At 34.6% G+C, this 20,644-nt stretch overlaps 1 protein-coding gene across 24 annotated transcripts in view; it reads left to right on the top strand.

Moving 5' to 3' along the window:
• BCLAF1 (BCL2 associated transcription factor 1) overlaps positions 1–20,644 on the top strand; it is a 33,220-nt gene that overhangs the window by 2,924 nt on the left and 9,652 nt on the right. Inside the window, exons 2-13 of one of the 24 annotated variants that reach the window (NR_170165.1) lie at positions 4,236–4,339; positions 7,047–7,160; positions 8,147–9,058; positions 10,415–11,080; positions 11,222–11,391; positions 13,736–13,841; positions 14,844–14,928; positions 16,540–16,600; positions 17,311–17,486; positions 17,620–17,782; positions 18,584–18,761; positions 19,748–19,894. Coding sequence is in view for 17 of the 24 variants with exons in the window: in NM_001386701.1 (NP_001373630.1) it covers positions 7,057–7,160; positions 8,147–9,058; positions 10,415–11,080; positions 11,222–11,391; positions 13,736–13,841; positions 14,844–14,928; positions 17,311–17,486; positions 18,584–18,761; positions 19,748–19,894 (2,544 nt within the window). In the remaining 7 variants the exon portion in view is untranslated. Of the gene's footprint in view, positions 1–4,235; positions 4,340–4,538; positions 4,684–5,723; positions 5,744–7,046; positions 7,161–8,146; positions 9,059–10,414; positions 11,081–11,221; positions 11,392–12,733; positions 12,961–13,735; positions 13,842–14,843; positions 14,929–16,539; positions 16,601–17,310; positions 17,487–17,619; positions 17,783–18,583; positions 18,762–19,747; positions 19,895–20,644 lie in introns of all 24 variants that reach the window. The other 23 variants (NR_170167.1, NR_170166.1, NR_170168.1 and 20 more) reach the window with 23 other exon arrangements.

Raw genomic sequence — 20,644 nt, 5'->3', positions numbered from 1 at the left:
GATCATGGCTCACTGCAACCTCCACCTCATGGGTTCAAGCGATTCTCCTGCCTCAGCCTCCAGAGTAACTGGGATTACAGGCGCCTGCCACCACGCCCGTCTAATTTTTATATTTTTAGTAGAGACGGGGTTTTGGCATGTTGGCCAGGCTGGTCTCGAACTCCTGACCTCGGGTGATCCGCCCGCCTCGCCCTCCCAAAGTGTTGGGATTACAGGTGTAAGCCACCGCACCCAGCCCATTTTATTAAGCATGTCTAGAAAGACTTCTAAATGATGCTGATTAATGCTGTATCAAAAATATTAGGTAACCTTACATGCAAGAATCATTTTAAGTAAACGTGGTTAGCTTGCAGAAAGGCTGCCTAAACAAGGGTTACCAATAATGATGGCTAATGCTAGATTGTATACCACGGGCCAAACATTAAACTAAGCTGTTTACATGCCTTACTTAGTTCATTTAACCCTGTACTTGTAAGGAAGTACCATTAGTAGTCTTTAAAACAACAACAACAAAAAAACACCTGCAGAATTTGAAGCTGACAGATGAAGGTAACTTGTTCAGTGTTGGGCAGCTAGTTAATGGCTGAGCCAGGAATTGAATCTAGACTACTGGAATAATAGTCATGGGCTATATTTTTAGGATTTGAAAAGATGGAAATAGCATTACTTTGTTTACAACAATCTGGGGACCAAACTCCTTGAGCCTGCTAAAATGAAGACTGGGATCAAGTATGCTTGAAATAGTAATCTTAAAGAATTCATTTTGGGTGGCTTTGTCTTGGGTATTTTGTTGAACCCAGTTACCTTGATCATTTTTTTTCTTTTTTTGAGACAGCCTCTCTCTTGCCCAGCCTGGAGTGCAGTGGTGCAATCTTGGCTCACTGCAACCTCCGCCTCCTGGGTTCAAGTGATTCTCCTGCCTCAGCCTCTGGAGTACCTTGGGACTATGGGCGTGCACCACCACGCCTGGCTGATTTTTGTATTTTTAGTAGAGACGGGGTTTCACCATGTTGGCCAGGCTGGTCTCAAACTCCTAACCTCAGGATCCGCTCACCTCGGCCTCCCAAAGTGCTGGGATTACAGGCGTGAGCCACCATTCCTGGCCTGATAAATTGTTTTCTAGCTGGTTTCTGATCACTTATGTTCTAGCTGGTCATTATGTATTATTTCATGAAAGATAGGCTCTGTTTAGATATTTAAGAACCTTATTTTTAAAAATAAAACCTGCTTTATTTTATCCTGTGTTCCTCATTGGTTGGTCTGTCAATTGGCTAAAGATACATATGGCAATTTATTCCTTATTTCTGTATACAAGTGGGAATCTATTAACAAATGATCTTGGTTGTAATAAAGGGAAGATTAATTTGGCATTTTCAGTTTTGTATTTGGGTTTTGGAAACATCAAGCACCTTTTAGGGTATTGAAGAGAGAGCACCGGATTTGGAGTCAGGAGATTTCAGTCAAATTTTGGATTAACCATTTACACTCCGACTGTGGGCACGAAAAACGGCAAACACATCTTTTGTTTTCTCCCCCAAACTTGTCCTCCCAGATGCTTGAATCTAAAACCTAGAATTTAAGGGCACTAGTGATTTTTCATTTTTCCTCACTCTCTGTACTTCACACCCCTAACAATCCATTAACAAGTCATTTTGACAAACCACATCTTGGATTTGCCTCTTTTTTTCATTGCTGTTTATTTTTTATATAGCAGCCATCTTAAAATGTAAATCAGATGAGTGACTCACCCAAGCAAAAACCCTGCAAGGGTTTCTCAACCGAGTAAAATCCTGATCCCTTTTGATGATCTACTAGATGCTATTTCATCTGGTCCATTCCTCCTCCTGCTGCCCTATTTCATACCCTCAACTCCTTGATCACGTTGTCTCAACCTTCTTATTGGTCTTTCTGTCCTGAATTTGCTAAGTTTGTGTCCTCTGCCTAGTATGGTCTTCCCTCTGTGAATCTTTGCAGTGTTCCCTGTCTTTAGGCCCAAATGTTACCTCCTTAAAGAGGGCCCAAGGATCCACCTAAGTAAGTAGTCCCCCTGCCCACCTCCTCTGCATGTTAACTTGTACTTTTCCCCCCCCTCCAATGTGGCACTTGCCACTATTTGATTTTTTCCTTGTTTTCTGTCTTCCCCTCTCTGAAAGCTTCAAGAGAGTAGGGAGCTTAAGTCTTAACTTAAAATGCTGTATTCCCAACGTTAGAATAGTAGTGCCTGGCATGTAAGGCACTTATCTCAAGTTATCTGGAAAGTTTAGGGTTCTCTGTATTTGAAAGATGGGATTAATATGTAGCTCATGAGATTATCAGGATCAAATATGACATTATTTTATTTACTTTAAGTCACCTAGCACAGTTCTTGGCACATGGTTGGTATTTAGATGTTTAGTTTACTATGATTTGTTGCTGATAACTGTTCTCGATTTGGTTTTTGGAAGGCAGGGACCACTTACATAGATACATTTCCTATAGTAATTAGCATTGTGCTTTGTATATAGACTTTCATTTTTTAAAAATTAGTTGAACTAATCAGTCTTTGATACTGACTTATTTATTGTGTGTTACATTTTGTGTATTATTTGAGTTATTGGTGTGGATACTTGAATATATTTATAGATTGTGAACAGGAATGTATATCCACTGGTCTAACAGCCTGTATTCCCTGTTCTGTCAGTTTTTTATATCTAGTGTTTATTTTCTTTGAACTTCAAAATACCATGACGGAGTAAAGAGATCTGGCAGTTGGGTCTTCTCTGGATATATATATATATATATATATATATATACACACACACACACATATATATGTATATATATATATAAATTAGCCTTTTGGAATTGTTTAGGGAAGTGTTAGCTAAAATGAGCCTTGTACCACTTCTAGGAGTGAATCAGTAGTAATGACTTTCCAGGTCAGAATAGTTTTATGACAGTACTCCAGTTTAGAAGATTGCCATTTTTTTCTCTGGCCACTTGGGGTTTTGATATTTTAAAAACTAAACTTATATGTCCTTTAGAAATCCTTTGTTTTTGTACCCAATCTTGCTTGGCTTTTTGACTTTGCTACTTTTTTAGTGTTTCCCTTAATAGGTTCCGATTCCTCCTTCCTAGGCTGAACCTCAAATCTCTCCCCAGTTGGAGGGCCATGGATATTTTAGGAGACGCTATTCTTGATTCACCAGTTTAATGTTACCATTTCTTCTTTGTATTTCCAGTCTCGTTTTATTTTTAAAATTGGATCTTGGTAAGAGTTACAGATTTCCATTTAAACTTGTTCATGAATTCTTTGAGTGCTGATGTATATTAATCTTGTATTCCTTAGTTTCTGTTCGCCTGGTGCTTTTGACTATCCTTTGCACATACTTGATGTGAATATACATAAAGCTAAACTTTTCAGTATTGGTAACTTGAATATTTTGTGCAAAGTTTATTTACAGATTAATGATAAATTATTTTAGGAAGAATATTGACTTTCAGTAGATAAAAGTTTCATTGCTGACTGTTCTTTTATTTGAATGTAGACGTATCAAGATGCTTTTAGGCACAGAATTTAAAGTTACTATGATGGCTGTTAACGTGGATTTAAAAATCAGTTTCACATGAAACTAAATTGTGTGAAAGGAAGTACCAAAAGAGAATAAGTAGCAGAGCATTAAACTCATATTTTAGATGTTATAAAGTAGAGCATTATGAAAATTAACTACAGATTACCTTTTTTTTTTTTTTTTTTTTTTTTTTGAGATGGGGTCGTGCTGTGTTGCCAAGGCTAGAGTGTGTTGCCAAGGCTAGTCACAGGTGTGATCACAGTGCATTGCAGTGTCAAACTCCTGGGCTCAAGTGATCCTTCTGCATCAGCCTCCCAAGTAGCTGGGACTACAGGCTTGTGCTACCTTGCCCCGCTACCAAGATGGCATTATGTTAGCTACGTTGGAATTTTCTGATGGAACGACATATCATATGTTTTTTAAGGCTCAAATTACTAAAATTAGAATTCAAGTAGTTAAAAAGATGCTGTCAGTTTCATGATACGCTACTGCATTGTGGTTTACAAAAAAGTTGAATTTTAAGCTTTTACGGTTAAAAGTTTCCTATTTCCTGAATTAGTTTTTCCTTCCCTGAAATTGTAAGTGCGTTTATTAGAGTTTATGGCAGTGCCCATTATATGCATTGTAAATAATGGTTATTTAATTTAACATAAATCACAATAATGGTTTTTTTGTCTTTGCTAGGAATTCGAATTTAGAGTTTAATTTCTCAGAGCATTCTCTCCAGGAAGAATTTTTACAGTATCTCAAAGACTTCACTTGACTTCTTGATCCTGCATAAAACCAAGGTAAAAGAGCATTCATTTTTCTAGTTTTCACTTTTGACTTTTTTGAGGAAATGTCACTACTGAATTGATGATTCAGATGGAGTGATTAAAAATGATGTGGTCCGAAGCTTTGTTTTTTGTTTATTTTGGTGGCTTGTATGAAGTAAGTCAGATGTTAAGTTAGTTTTAGGAAAAAGGTTCTTTTTCTGTCTTCTTCCAGGTTGTGCTCCTGCTTTTTCTATTTCTATAAACACATCTACTAAAAGACTCAGGACATACAAGATAGAAAGACTGCTACTTAACCCATTTCCCTAATGTAAACAAGAGGAGATTCATAACTTGTTTCTCTCTACTGTAGTGTTTAGGTAATTCAAATTGATTGCTAATGTGTTAGATGTATTAAGTGAATTAAGTTCATCAACTCATTAAGTCCACTACAAGTCTGTGAAGTAGGTACTGTTATTTTCTTCGTTTTACAGTTGAGGAACAGGCTCAGAGAGCTTAAGGAATTTGAATTCATGTAGTTTAAATGCAGAGACCATGTTCTTAGCTTTTTCCCTGTTTTTGCAGTAGAGCAGAAGATATCAATCCATTTCTTTTGGACTGCTAACTATTTGATAGGCATGCTTTCTTTCCGTTAGTTTTTGAAGTTTCAGGTGTAGCTTAAAGCAAAACGCAAACCTTTAAAAATGAACTTGCTGCTTTAAAAAATGTCCAGGTTCTGGGGAATGCATTCATTTTATAGTTATTTATTAAATACCTGTTGTGCTCGTGTGCCACAAGCCCAGCTACATCCTGGTGACTGAAAAAGCCTACAGAATTCCTGAATCCTTTAACAGAAATTACCATCCAAAAAGCCTCAAGAGCAAAGAACAGAGATTCTGGAGATACAGCACAACACAGCATCTGTAGCTCTTAGTAAAATAGTGTTTTATTTACTGATTAGTACAATGAAAAAGGATGTTGTCTTATTGCTGGACTGGATCTCCAAAATCATTTGCAGCTCTGGTTTCTTTTTATAGTGTGTCTGATTATCTCAGAGTGGGATAAAAATAAATATCTTGAAGTAAATTCGATCAGAATGAATGTAAATTACGTATTTATATTCTTTTAAAAACTTTGGGAGGGACAGAATTTTGAAATCAGATGCAAGAGAATGTCACAGTTCCCCGTGGCCAAGATTCCTTCCTTTACAGGCTGTAAATGTGGTTTTTGCCAATTTCATTATGTTGTCAAAACTACAGTTGCTAAACCAAATTTGTGTTCTACAAGGTGTCAGATCTCCTTATGTTAATGCTAAATTTATTTCTTATGTGTTGTGGAATTCTTACTTTGCCTTTTTGAACCCTGAACCTATGTTTTGTTTCTGTCTTTATGTATTTCTTGCTTACTTGGGATTGAGAAGAAGAGTGAGAGAAGACAAAGGTGGTAGTCTATTAGAGGATAGTTATGTTTTATTTTGAAATAAGCATTTATCTCAAACATCTTGAATTTGTTATTTATATTGCTTGATGAGGAACTATCCAAGTATTACCATTACTTCTTCTATAACTGAACTCATCTTAGTACCTCCAAATACTATTTTATTATACCGAACAAAGTCTAGGTAGGTAAAAAAGTGCCTTCAAAAATACTTGGTTGTAGGAGATACTATTTAAGTATTATGGGAATTGCAAGGTGTTAGAAGTTTAGTAAGTTGATTTTTATTGAAATGAATACTTTTTGAGTAAGTTAGTGTAAATTTGGAAATAGTTCTATGCAGCAAAAACAAGCTTGAGAGGCTAAGATATAATCTAATCATTGAAAAGTTGAAAATGTGACATTTGGGATATGCATGCAGTGATTTGCTATATGTGTATGTTTTTTCAATTAGTAGATCTTATAAATCAATTAGTTTTGACAGTTACTGATTTCTGTACCCAATGAGGTCTAATTATAGCATTGGATACCATGTAGTGTTTAGAAAAGTTAAACTACTGGTGCCCAAGTTTTTTTTTTCTTGTAGTTCTAATAAATCTTTCTTGAAGTAATCCCTCCAATTCTTTATCTTTTATTCTTTTTAAATCTTCTTAACAGAAAGCTTCAGGGTGAACTAGGCATTGTCACATAAGTCCACTTTATTCTGGAGTCATGAGTACTGAGAGCAGAGCCATGGCTCCAGCTGTTTAGAAACTTAGTGTCCTGTATTGTTCTAGGATACTATCTAGTACCACTCCAGACAGGATTGTGTATATGGAGTGGTCAGTTCAGTCTCATTTTCAAGGCCATAAAGCACTATGATAACAGCCTGGTAGGTTTATTTTTTGTTAGTATTGTGACACTTTATTTTATTTCAGTTGCCTTATCTGTAGTACCTTTATTATTTATCTTTCTTACAGGAGGGGTAGGCATTTGTATTGGGCGTGGAATAACACATAACATGCTGCTGCAGTCTCATTGCTTTTTCTGGCTTCTGCAGCTGCTGCCTTTTAGGATTGAGGCTCATAAGTGGGGCAGTCCGTAAAAATCTTCAGTTGTGTCTTTAATCGACAGTACCTGTCATGCAGGTGAAAACAGTTTTAGTCAGGGATAATTGACTTGTCTTCTGAATACTGATTTGAAAAGGATGGTGAATAATAGCCTTTGAGAAACTTGTAAAAATCAAATTTTATCTGAAAATAAGTAATAATGTAAAATTTTAAATATCATATTGTAATTTTAACCTTTTTTTGCCCTATCATTTGATTAGGAGAAAAGAAATGGGTCGCTCCAATTCTAGATCACATTCTTCAAGGTCAAAGTCTAGATCACAGTCTAGTTCTCGATCAAGATCAAGATCTCATTCTAGAAAGAAGCGATACAGGTGATTTAATGTGCTTTAAATTTTTAAAATAATTATATCAGTTAATACTTGTTGAATGAGTATCGTAAACACAGTGCTAAACCCCAAAATGTATTTTATTCTCAAAGAACCCTGTGAAATGGATCTATTGTTATCCTTATTGTAAGCGAGAAAATGAGAATGTCCAGGTAACAAGCTCTAGTAAATGGCAGAGCTTGGATTGAAATCCAGTTAGTCTGACTCCAGGTCTCAAATTTTACTGTATAATGTATGGTAGGTTTCTTTGTATTTGTCCACAATGTTAAGAGATGAATTGGGTAATGCAAGAATTTGACAGTAAACAATCTCTGCATATTGTTTTATAGTTTCTCATTTCTGACTGTGAATCTTTGAATTCTAACAAAATAATTTTTTTTGTTAAAAAAATTAACAACTCTGGTTATTTTTGTTAAAATAGTAATACATACTTAGCATAGAAAACAGAAACCAGAAGTTGAAAATACAAATGACCATAATACCATTAAGAATTAATAGTAGTTGATGCTCATTCTTTTTCCCCCACCAGGCTTAACTTTATATTATGTATGTATTTAATTAATAGTATCTCACTGATAGTTTTTTGTAATCTTTTCCCCCATTTAACTATATATTATGCCATGCCATTAAATATTCTTTTACAACATCAATTTAAGTGCTTGCCTAGAGGTACTACAATTTGCTAATATGTCCTAATGCATGTGATATATATAACACATGCGTGTGTGTGTGTGTGTGTGTGTGTGTGTGTGTTTTGTGCCTTCATTTGTAAGGTCTTTAAGGTATTCTCTCAGTATTTACCTTAGTGAGGCTTTTTGATTGGAAACCATTAACTTTTGTACAGATGAGTTTTTTAAAAAAGTGTATTTTTGCCTTTACTGTTTATTTACATGTTATATTCAACCAGAGTATTTAGAATGGTAGCATGGAATACTTTATTTTTCTTGCATTGATATTTATTTCATTTTTAGTTCTAGGTCTCGTTCCAGAACATATTCAAGGTCTCGTAGTAGAGATCGTATGTATTCTAGAGATTATCGTCGCGATTACAGAAATAATAGAGGAATGAGACGACCTTATGGGTACAGAGGAAGGGGTAGAGGGTATTATCAAGGAGGAGGAGGTAGATATCATCGAGGTGGTTATAGACCTGTCTGGAATAGAAGGCACTCTAGGAGTCCTAGACGAGGTCGTTCACGTTCCAGGAGTCCAAAAAGAAGATCCGTTTCTTCTCAAAGATCCAGAAGCAGATCTCGCCGGTCATATAGATCTTCTAGGTCTCCAAGATCATCCTCTTCTCGTTCTTCATCCCCATATAGCAAATCTCCTGTTTCTAAAAGACGAGGGTCTCAGGAAAAACAAACCAAAAAAGCTGAAGGGGAACCCCAAGAAGAGAGTCCGTTGAAAAGTAAATCACAGGAGGAACCGAAAGATACATTTGAACATGACCCATCTGAGTCTATCGATGAATTTAATAAGTCATCAGCCACATCCGGTGATATTTGGCCTGGCCTTTCAGCTTATGATAATAGTCCTAGATCACCCCATAGTCCTTCACCTATTGCTACACCACCTAGTCAGAGTTCATCTTGCTCTGATGCTCCCATGCTCAGTACAGTTCACTCTGCAAAAAATACTCCTTCTCAGCATTCACATTCCATTCAGCATAGTCCTGAAAGGTCTGGGTCTGGTTCTGTTGGAAATGGATCTAGTCGATACAGTCCTTCTCAGAATAGTCCAATTCATCACATCCCTTCACGAAGAAGTCCTGCAAAGACAATCGCACCACAGAATGCTCCAAGAGATGAGTCTAGGGGCCGTTCCTCGTTTTATCCTGATGGTGGAGATCAGGAAACTGCAAAGACTGGGAAGTTCTTAAAAAGGTAAAAACTAAAATACAGAATCTAGATTATAATATTGTTTTTGTTCTTTGAATTCTGTTTGGAATTATAAACGTAAAATTGTGATATGTATTTAACTAGCGGTTTTTACTCTTGACTTCCTTCATTTTAAGATAATTCCAAATTGTTTTTACTCTTATCTGGTGAACTTTGGAAGCTAAGTGTTTTAATAAAAATTAATTTATCCAGCTACTCAGGAGGCTGAGGCGGGAGGATCTCTTGAGCCCAGGAGTTCAAGGCTGTGGTGAGCTATGATTGCGCCTACTGCACTCCAGCCTGGGCGATAGAGCAAGACCCTGTCTCTTTAAAAAGAATTAAAAAAACCTAATTTCTATCCCTCCTCTTAATTTTACCATTTTCGGTCCAGAATTAAAAATACAGATGAGGAGAAGTTGAGTAGCTTAGAGCATAACTAAATGATATATGTTGCTAATAACTGTAAACCTTTTAGAAATTAAGTTTCTTAAAGCATTGAAGGCTTATTTTGTTCTTTTCACTATTAGAATGTGACCTACATAAATAATGCAGCTATATTGCATGTTCTTAGGTGGCATAAACAGTCTGGCTGTCAATATTTAATGATTTCAGCCTGACTATACAAAAGGTAATGGTATTTCTCACTGACTAATGACATTTGAAACAGATACATTGTTTAAATTCTGATTTCAAGTGTTGCTGAAAGTTGCTAACAGTGAAAATTGGTTGCTTCATGTATTGTGATTTGACTTAAAAGTGAGAAAATAGAGGAAACATGCTGTTTGTGGAATAGCACTGCACAATCTAGAATTTATGATTGAACTGATCATTAGTTTCTATGAAATAGTGCCAGAAATCATTATTTTTCTAGAGCAAGTTTATATGAACTGTTCTGTGATTTTCATAAAGTATTAAATTACTGCAGTGGTAATTAAATCCATTTGTGTGAACTCTTGTTTATATTAATAGATAATATCTGGAATTTTGGGGATAATTATCAATAGAATTCTAACAATGTATTATCTATTAGTGGTTCTTAGTTTCAAAAATTAAATTTAGGCAATCTCTAGAAGTTCGTGTTAGTGCAGAATTGTGGATTGTGACTAAATAGGACAGGTTTTTGTGATTGGCTTTGTGTTTTAAACTTCAGAAGTCAAATGTAAATTTATTTTAAAAGTCAGTACATAAGTTCTATATGGATGCTTTCAATGATTTTTAAAAGTGGAATCTGAAAAAGCACTTTTCAATAGGGTTATTTTCTCTCTTGCTGGTCCTGAGGGATTGGGCAACACATTTAAATATGGAAGCGATCTACAGTGAATGCAATCCAGAGTTACTATCCTCTTCTTTGCTTATTCGCAGGTTCACAGATGAAGAGTCTAGAGTATTCCTGCTTGATAGGGGTAATACCAGGGATAAAGAGGCTTCAAAAGAGAAAGGATCAGAGAAAGGGAGGGCAGAGGGAGAATGGGAAGATCAGGAAGCTCTAGATTACTTCAGTGATAAAGAGTCTGGAAAACAAAAGTTTAATGATTCAGAAGGGGATGACACAGAGGAGACAGAGGATTATAGACAGTTCAGGAAGTCAGTCCTCGCAGATCAGGGTAAAAGTTTTGCTACTGCATCTCACCGGAATACTGAGGAGGAAGGACTCAAGTACAAGTCCAAAGTTTCACTGAAAGGCAATAGAGAAAGTGATGGATTTAGAGAAGAAAAAAATTATAAACTTAAAGAGACTGGATATGTAGTGGAAAGGCCTAGCACTACAAAAGATAAGCACAAAGAAGAAGACAAAAATTCTGAAAGAATAACAGTAAAGAAAGAAACTCAGTCACCTGAGCAGGTAAAGTCTGAAAAGCTCAAAGACCTCTTTGATTACAGTCCCCCTCTACACAAGAATCTGGATGCACGAGAAAAGTCTACCTTCAGAGAGGAAAGCCCACTTAGGATCAAAATGATAGCGAGTGATTCTCACCGTCCTGAAGTCAAACTCAAAATGGCACCTGTTCCTCTTGATGATTCTAACAGGTAATTCCATATTGATGCCCAGTAAATAATCTGTGGGCAGTCAGTATTCCAGTTAATTATCTTAAACTTTCTGAACATACCATTTTTATATTTAAACCAATGGTATATTTTGTGTGTGTGTGTGTTATCAATATGTTCCAGACCTGCTTCCTTGACTAAAGACAGGCTGCTTGCTAGTACACTTGTCCATTCTGTCAAGAAGGAGCAAGAATTCCGATCCATCTTTGACCACATTAAGTTGCCACAGGCCAGCAAAAGCACTTCAGAGTCATTTATTCAACACATTGTGTCCTTGGTTCATCATGTTAAAGGTATGCTTAGTATGTTTAGTATCGTGAATTAAATTTCTCTTGCATGCAAATAAAAAAATGTGTAATTATGCTTAATAATTCATGTACCCCAGGGCTAGCAAATATACATCCAATATTATTAAAACTTGGAAAAGTAGTTTCATAGAAGAGAGTCCCTAGTCTTGCTAGCATTGAAACTTATGAAGATAGTTAATAAAAAGTAATTGAAATGCTGGAGAAACCATATGCTAAAAATCTGTATCATGGTAGAACATGATGTAGATTTGTTGAATGCTAAAAGTGTTTTTTAAGTATGTCATTGTAATGTACTTGAAGTGCAGAAGGCTTACAGATAGTCTTTCATTGCATGCCTATGGCTTGTGATAATCTTGGCATAGATTTATAACAAAGTCAGACAGTATTGTTATTGAATATTTCTAAGAATTTCTTTTCAACTTTTAAAGAAATCTGAAATGGTGGAAAAACACTTTTTTTGCGCTTAATTTTTTATACATAAAAATCTTAAAATGATAAAACAAGAAAATTTATCAGGATTTTTAAAGGAAAAACGTTCAAGAAATTTAGAAGTATATTATATAAATACTGATTACATGAATAGTGACTAATTAGGATAATGATGACACTTCTTTAGGTCCTAAAGATAAGGTTGTTTATTTCAACTAAAGTAATGATTTTTTTTTTTAAATTTTTACCAGTATGTAATTATAGTTGCAGAGTTACTAATAATTTTCAAAGATTTTCAAGTATGTCTTTTGGGCAGTTAGGTTAAGTTTTGTTTTTGTTGTTTTGTTTCTGTGTTTAAAAAGCAACTTACTATGAGACATATTCTTTCTCAGGAACTTCAAAGACTGTTGGCCTTTAAAATTAATCCCCTCCCCGCTTTTAAAAAATCTGTCGTTTGACATGAGAACAGCTCAATGTAATAGATGAAACTTGCCTCTAGCAGTTCTTTATGCAGTTGATACATCAGAACAGTGAATAGTTAGATGAATTTCTTTTGGGCTGTAATTATTTAAACACGGTAACAAGACAGTTTTGCTATTTGGCTCTGAGTAGGTTTGTGAACCAGTTTATGACCATATTACTGTGGTACATAAAATATGAAACATTCTTTTTTTTTTAATTTTTTAATCTTTTTTGGCCTAGCTCCACATTTTACAATTTATTACTGAATTTTGAGATCAGGTTTTGATAAATTTTTTCCTTTTTCTTTTTTCTTTTTTTTTTTTTAAAAGAACTGTAGTAATGTTTCATAATTGGTATTGTGCAACCGATCTGAACAGCTCTTACTTTATATAGAGCTGAAAATGCCCAGTGATGTTTTCTTTTTCATTGTAACTAGGTCCTGGAATATGTTTTGAAATGGCAAAATCCATGTTTCAAAGTAAAATAGCTGTTGAAAGATACAGGCAAAGTTGAATCTTCTGTCTTCCTGGCAAAAATGGCATAAAAACTGAGTTGCTAGCTCAAATTCCTGGGTTTCATGGAATTATGATTGAGGCACTACCCTTGTAGTGGCCGTTTCAAGTTTTAATGATTGGTTATGAGACATGTGCTGGATATTGGGCGGTAAGTTGACAACAGATGTATGTTGACCTGTTAAGCAGATAGCTTGCTTCATAATGTGACATTTCATAGCTCATGACTTTATACGTCTTTCTATTTTACATTTACAACATATCTTGAACTGGTTTTAAAAATAATCAGTATTGATATTACTAGTTTGAAAATTGTTTAAAGAGAGACAAAACAGCAATATCAAATTTGCTGTTGGGTTTGCCAAGATGCCAGATTTTTGGAGTAATTATTGAATGTTAATTGATTTAAAAATATTTTTCCAATTTGGGTGATAATATTCAGTGTTTTTATAAATCCATTTTTGTTGATATGGCAGCATATAGTCACTGATGAAATTTAATAGTTGACCCAAACAAGCTTTTTAGTTAACTCCATATTTTCCTGTTTTTTGTTTTCTGCAAATGATTACTTGAAGTAATGTCATTGGTTCATATTGGCAAGGTATTAGAGCATCCATAGATTATGTTCCTTTTTGTTCTGAGGAAGTAGTGTATTAATGAAGTGGAATTAGAGACTCTTGATTTAATCTATTAATTGCTCTTGGATTAGATGTAGTATTGACAGGGACCTGTGAGCAACTTTCGAAACACTCTCCTGTTGAGGTACAAGAAATTGAAAGGGTAGGAGTTCCTTGTAACACTTGATTCTCTTTTGCTAGGTTTCTTATTTTTATTTTCTTTTCACCTGCTACATGCCCTTCTGTCACAAACAAATCTCTCTTAAAGTAAAGTTAACTAATCGGACAGTATTTCTTCTAAATCAACAGAGCAATACTTCAAGTCAGCTGCAATGACCCTAAACGAGCGGTTCACTTCGTATCAGAAAGCCACTGAAGAACATAGTACTCGGCAAAAGAGCCCTGAAATACACAGGTATGTATCCTGCTGAACTGGCATATAAAAACGTTGTTTTGATAGGAAGACACTGTTAAAACAAGATTGTATTGGAAGTTTGTTTTTGTCATTGATACAAGTATTATTCCTCATTTATACTTTAAATAAATATATTTCAAAGTCTTGAAAATTCTATAATTCTTGATTTTCAGCTTAGTTGAAACTGGTTGTTAGAACTTGAAATATTAACTCTTATTACTTTGCAGTATGGAATTAAATAGTTATCAATTAGTTTGGTTTTTGGGAGGGGCAGTGGAGGCCTAGAGTTACCTTCGAATTTCTAGTGAAATAAATGTGAAATAAATGTTTGGTGAGAGAGAGAGAACGAAAGCATGAGCATTGAAGTCAGATAGTTGTGTTGAAATCCTGACTTTGTCTCTTCGTTGCATTGTGATGAACAACTTAATCTCTGGACGTAAGTTTTTTCATATACAAAATGTGGATAATCATGCCAGTTTTGCAGGGTGGCAGTGACAGTGATATTGGCTATGAAGTATCTGACTTGGTACTTTGTACACAGTTGGTGTGATTTTGGTGATGACTGCTAAAGAAGCACTGGGTAGTTGCAGCCAATACTGACTTAGAAAGGAAAGGTGCAGAATAAAACTAAAGGGGCACTGAATATCTAAAAATACTGAAGACAGGAGCAAATAATCCTATTCATGTGTGTTTGTTGATGCTTAAAATCATATCCAGTTTAATCAAAACACATTTTTTCTATTTTTGATGGCTAAAATAAGTTTGATGTTTTAAAGGCCAGACTTCACTTCTATATAAAAATATCTGGTTGGAGCATTTTAATTCATTCTTTGTGGGTATTTTTTCTTAATTGTGTATTATAAACTAAATTAATAGTCTTGGTGTGCTAAATTAGTTGATTGGGAGAGAAATAACTGTCTTAGGAAAATGGATAATCGTGTGGATGTTTTTGAACCAAAAAGTTAATAATATGACTAAAAATATATTTTATTTTACATTAAGGAGAATTGACATCTCACCAAGTACCCTGAGGAAGCATACCCGTTTAGCAGGGGAAGAGAGAGTTTTTAAAGAAGAAAATCAAAAGGTATGTTTTTGAATGTAATTTTTTTTCGTGTTAAGTTCAGCTTAGTTAATGATATTGTACCAAATATAGTTTCTCAAGGCAAAATGTCTATAGATATCTTCTACTTTTAATTCATAACTATATTATGGTAGTGTACATACTGTTTCTTCCTGGAAGAAATTAAGGTGACACTATACTAAGTGTCTTAAATTTAAACCAAGAGTGTTTTTTCAAAACACTAATGAAAGGAAAAAAAATAGTCCTAAGAAAAGTGTAAAGAATCAGTGGGTAGACAAAGGGAAATTATAAAATCAAAGATACAAATTAGAATTTTGAGATGAGATTCATTAGCCAGAGTAAATATTTCTCGATTTGTGTGTCTAAATTAATATCTCTAGGTTCTTCACAGATAACAAGAAGTAATCCCCATGCTACTGAGCATTTTTGATGTGGATTAAGAAATAAGCATTCTAAGAACTGGTTTACAAATGAACGTTTGGAACAAAGACTTGTCACTCTTGGAATGTTTGGGGATTGGGGGAATGTCTTTTAAACATGAGAGAGGAGCCTGTGAAAGATATTGAGGGGTCTTGGTGAGAATGGAATTCAGTGGTTAAGGGGTCTCCAATATACTCTTGACAATTCAAAATGACCTTTGCCAGGTAGACTAATCTATATCAGGCCATAAAATGTCTAGTAGTAGAAATGTGGGGAAAGGCAGAAAGGGAGCAACTGTTTTGAAGAGATTAGGGGACTTGGAAGTACTGCTTGGTTCCAATTCTGGCTGTCACTAAGTACTATCTACATGATATTTGGAAAATAACCTCTTGAACCTTGCTTTTCTAATTAGAAAAATGAGAATGCATCTGTTTTGCAGAGTTGTTGAATAATTGGGTTATTTTGAAAATAGGCACGTTTGTTACTAGAAGCTGTTATGGACAGTGGTAGTATACAAGTTTAATAGGGCATGCTATTAACTTACTAGATGTGGAATCTAGAGCTTACAAACAAGGTTTTTTTTTGTTCTGTTATTTTTTTTGTTTTTGTTTTGCATGGGGCGTATTGATGTTGAAAGAACAGATTCTGAGTAGTGAATACTTTTTTTGGTTTTTAACTTAAATAATATCTTGGGTTCAAAGTTGTTAATTTAGTTTTCCCAACAGTTTAGTCTGTCCTCGTGCTCTGACAGTGAGTATCTTCTCTCCTCATTACATAGACCAGATTTTGATCCAGAGGAGAAAAAGTAGAGATAATTGATGAATAGACAAGAGGATATGCCATTGGTTTTTATCCTCCTGTCTGGATGAATAACATGTTAATATGTAATTATGTATATATCGTTTGTAATTTACAAAGTAGTTTCATTTACATTATCTTGTTACTTGTGGACTTGGTAATACCTAGGTGAATAGGAAGGTTTTTTTGCTCTTGATTAGATTTTTTTCTTTGTGACTCTGGGAGCAAATAGGTGAGTAGTTGATATCATTTGGAGATACGTACTTTCAGTTTTATGAATGCTTATGAATATTATAGCCAGACTTCCCAGAGTAAATACTACTTATTGTTGAATACTAGCAAGGATGTCCACATTGCTTAGCATCTTACTGATGTATAATTTCTCTTCATTCCTAGATGCCTCTTTCCATCTTCCTAAATTATATAGTATTTGAAAAAGCAATGGAACAAGAAGGAGGTGAATTGTGACCCAGTTAAACTAATGTCCGTTGCAATACCTGAATTGAGAAAGGGCAGTATATGGCCCAAGATACTGAGTACAGGATTGCGAATATCTTTCTGGCTTTGTTTCTACCCTTGTTCAACCAATTGGTTTCATTAATAATATTTTACGTGCATGTTATGGAAATTATAGAATTCTTACTTCTGAAGTTTTTTTTTTTATTGGGTTGGTCAGATTATTTGGGAAGAGCTTGATCATAATGAGGCTTAAGTAATGAGAACCATTATGTTAGGATCTCTTTTATTTAGGTAGAAGGCTACATTACAACTACAGATTATAACATCTGTCATTGTTCAACTATTGAAAACAGCATTTGGAAGGATGAGGGATAATAAGGATGTGCTGAGTGGAAAAAATATTTGTATCATTTACTGTACAAAAATTTATTATAGATTGTTTTGGATAAAAACCTGCAAAATTCTCAAGATAATTAGCTTTTAATAATTTCCCCAGTCCCACTGCACTTTGTATACACAAATGTTTAGTAAAAATAGTCAAGTACATTTTTTAACAAAAACTAAGTGATAGTATCTTATATGATTCATTATTTTCTGATACTAAAATGCCAGTTTAGAAGCTGGCATAAAATTTAACTCTATAATATGTGTATATATATTTTTTCTATTTCTCCCCTGAAATCTGTATTTTATATCTGTCTTTTATAGGGAGATAAAAAATTAAGGTGTGACTCTGCTGACCTTCGGCATGACATTGATCGCCGTAGAAAAGAAAGAAGTAAAGAACGGGGAGATTCCAAGGGCTCCAGGGAATCCAGTGGATCAAGAAAGCAGGAAAAAACTCCAAAAGATTACAAGGAATACAAATCTTACAAAGATGACAGGTAATTGTTCAAACTGACTAAGATAGGTTTTAGCTTCTAATTAGCCTTTAATAATTGTCAGCTTAATTGCTTTCAATTTTGACTGTGTAATCGAATGTTTAAATTTAAACAATTAAAATTATTTGTTTTACAGCAAAAATGTATTTGTCTTTTACACGGCTTATGGTGGATGAGGACAAAAACTTTGGAATAGCAAGCTAACACTGAAAAAAAAAATGACAAATTAATGTGTCCTATTATCCAGGCTACATCAGGAGGTTGGACTTCAATGCAGTGCATTTCTAGAAACAGTTTGTGTAAGAACTTTGGTTCGTTATGCTTGATTCCGCACTTTTTCAACTCATAACACCCAGAGTACAAGAATTTTAAACTGATATCTAGTGGTTTAACATGGGAGAGATGGGGGGGAGGAAGGACTAGAAATAGCAATGTGTATTAGTCTTTCAAAATAATATTTCCTTGGAAACTGTTAGCAGTGGTAAGAGTTAACCACAGGTATGACCTTTTCGGGTGTTGCATTAAATCATGTAAATTTGATCATCATAGAGTCAAATAGGAACACAAAGTATTATAGATAATCTTTTTCCTTGCTATTCATTAGGTAAATGGTGGATTTTGTTTGTGTTATTAAATTTATGGCTGTTATTTGTAATGTCATATGCTTTTTATTTGCTATAATGGTACTATAGCCCAAACTATACCAACTATTTTCACCCAGGGTGTACAAACTGCAGTCATTTTGAAACTTGGCCTTAAGAACATCCTTACTTTTTCCTACTCTTCTCTTCCTTTCATTAAAGTAATAAAAGACATAACTTAATTTAAAAATACTAAAGAACTGAACCTTATTCTTGACCTTTACAGACTACTATTTTCTAACTGGCAGGCCCTAGCATGTTTTTCATTATTGATGTAAAACACATATTGAAGGAGAATGGAAACAGACTGTGTCAAAGTTTAACACCCAATTATTTTATTTACATAATTTTATTAGGGGATAGTGTTGTTGACTTGAAAAATATCTCTTCTGTTGTAAGATTCAGCAGGGTCTTTATCTTTTTAAAAGTATCACATTTTTTGTTTTCTTTATTTTGCAGTAAACATAAAAGAGAGCAAGATCATTCTCGATCTTCATCCTCTTCAGCATCACCTTCTTCTCCCAGTTCTCGAGAAGAAAAGGAGAGTAAGAAGGAAAGAGAAGAAGAATTTAAAACTCACCATGAAATGAAAGAATACTCAGGCTTTGCAGGAGTTAGCCGACCACGAGGAACCTTTGTAAGTGAAAAAATTATCTTTGATTGTTTGGTAGGAGTTTATCTTAGAGTACTGTACATAAGGAAGGTCATATACATGATTTAGAGATTGTTATGTGTGTCATTATTCCTAAAGTCAGAGATAGTATTGAAACATGAAGTGGTGTTTGAAGTGCTGTCTTCATTTAGAAATGCCATTTTGAGGTCTAGAAGCATCTGTATAAACTAGGTACTTTTCTTGACTTCGAGATCAATAACTGTACCTAGTCCTTAAAGACCAAGAGTCAAGGAAAGTTACTGATTTGTAATAACATTTCTTTAATCACTTAGTTTTTGAAAAGGTACCTTAACGCCTTAATAAAACCCCTGTATGTTCATCTCTGTATTACAGTTACATTCATTTTGCCTGCTTTCTTCAAATCCTTGCTTATATGGGTATCAATCATAGAAATCATATAAATATTTCACATAGCATATACATTATCCCCATGTTTCTGTAAGTCGTTATAATTATTAATATAATGACTTCCATGGTAGTGCATCTTCTTGCCTGTTTAATTTCAAGATTCACACTCCTACCTTGAGCGAGTATCTAGTTGGGTTTTGGTGGAGTTCATTTATTAGATAATTTGGGAAAGAGAAGAGCTTTGCTTGTATGGTGATAGGTATGGCTGAATACTTGGGGCTTCTATGATAATTCAAAGAAATTAGACAACTTTTGACTAGTAAAAAGGAAAAACAACTTGATTATTTAAAAATATTAGTTCAGTCCATGAAAGTACAGTATTCTAACACTTAGGTTGATCATTTCTTAACCTACTCAACTTTTAGTTGGCAGAAATTTTTTGCCTATGATATAAAATGGCCATCCTTTTCATCCTCAATGGCCATGAGATTTAGATAGGAAATTAGGGCATATGTTTTTTGTTACTGCAGTAAAATTAGAATTTGCATGTAACTAAATACCTTTTGATTGCATCACTAAACAACTTTGTTAATGTTAATCAGTTTCGAATTAGAGGCAGAGGAAGAGCCAGAGGAGTTTTTGCTGGGACAAATACTGGTCCAAACAACTCAAATACTACTTTTCAAAAGAGACCGAAGGAAGAGGAATGGGATCCAGAATATACCCCAAAGAGCAAGAAGTACTTCTTGGTGGGTGTTAGACATCTGTGTTTATTTGGTTTGCATTAATTTTCGAAGCATACTAGGTGAATAAATTTGAGTACAGATAACCACTACTATAAGAAGATTCACCGTTATGTGGGAAACCTTTTTTAAAATAATTACCCAGACGATTTGAAATTTTGAAAAATGTGGGTCCCTTTAGTCCTGTTCATACTTTCTTGATATTAAACATAGGCTGATCAGGGTAAGCAAAAAATATACCTGATTTGTTACCCACATTCAGAGAAAAACATTATATTATAGTTGAGCTTAATGTTTGTTTTATATCTGTCTATAAGACAGTGACAGTTGTAGAAACTTCACATTAAGATGTACCTTCCATTATCATAGCTATTTGTTTAAATGAAAAGGAGAATAATTTTTTCAAAGTACGTGTAATTAAGAATTTTAGGGAGGCTGTCAACTTTCATTGGAGAAAAAAGATGATGAAAAATTACATTACAGAAAAGTTGCTGCTAGATACACTAATTTGGTGCTTCCTGTGGTAGAGGTGCTTTTCCCTCTGAAATAGTTTTTCAAGGATGAAGCTAGAGGTGGTAGGTCCTGAAGGATTCTCTAGATAAGGATGGGCATTTTCTGCTGTTTGGCATGGGGAAAAGGGTCTCTCCTGCATTATAGAGGTGGACAAGAATATACCGAAACTATTACCAGAAGTATTCATTTTTTTGTCATGGCTTTTCAGAGAATTTATGCTTCAGAGACTAGTTCTGAAAACTA

Source organism: Homo sapiens, chromosome 6 (genome assembly GCF_000001405.40).
Source record: "Homo sapiens chromosome 6, GRCh38.p14 Primary Assembly".
Classification (NCBI taxonomy): Eukaryota; Metazoa; Chordata; class Mammalia; order Primates; family Hominidae; genus Homo; species Homo sapiens.
Note: the sequence above shows the minus strand (reverse complement) of the source record. Positions and strands in the feature narration are given on the sequence as shown.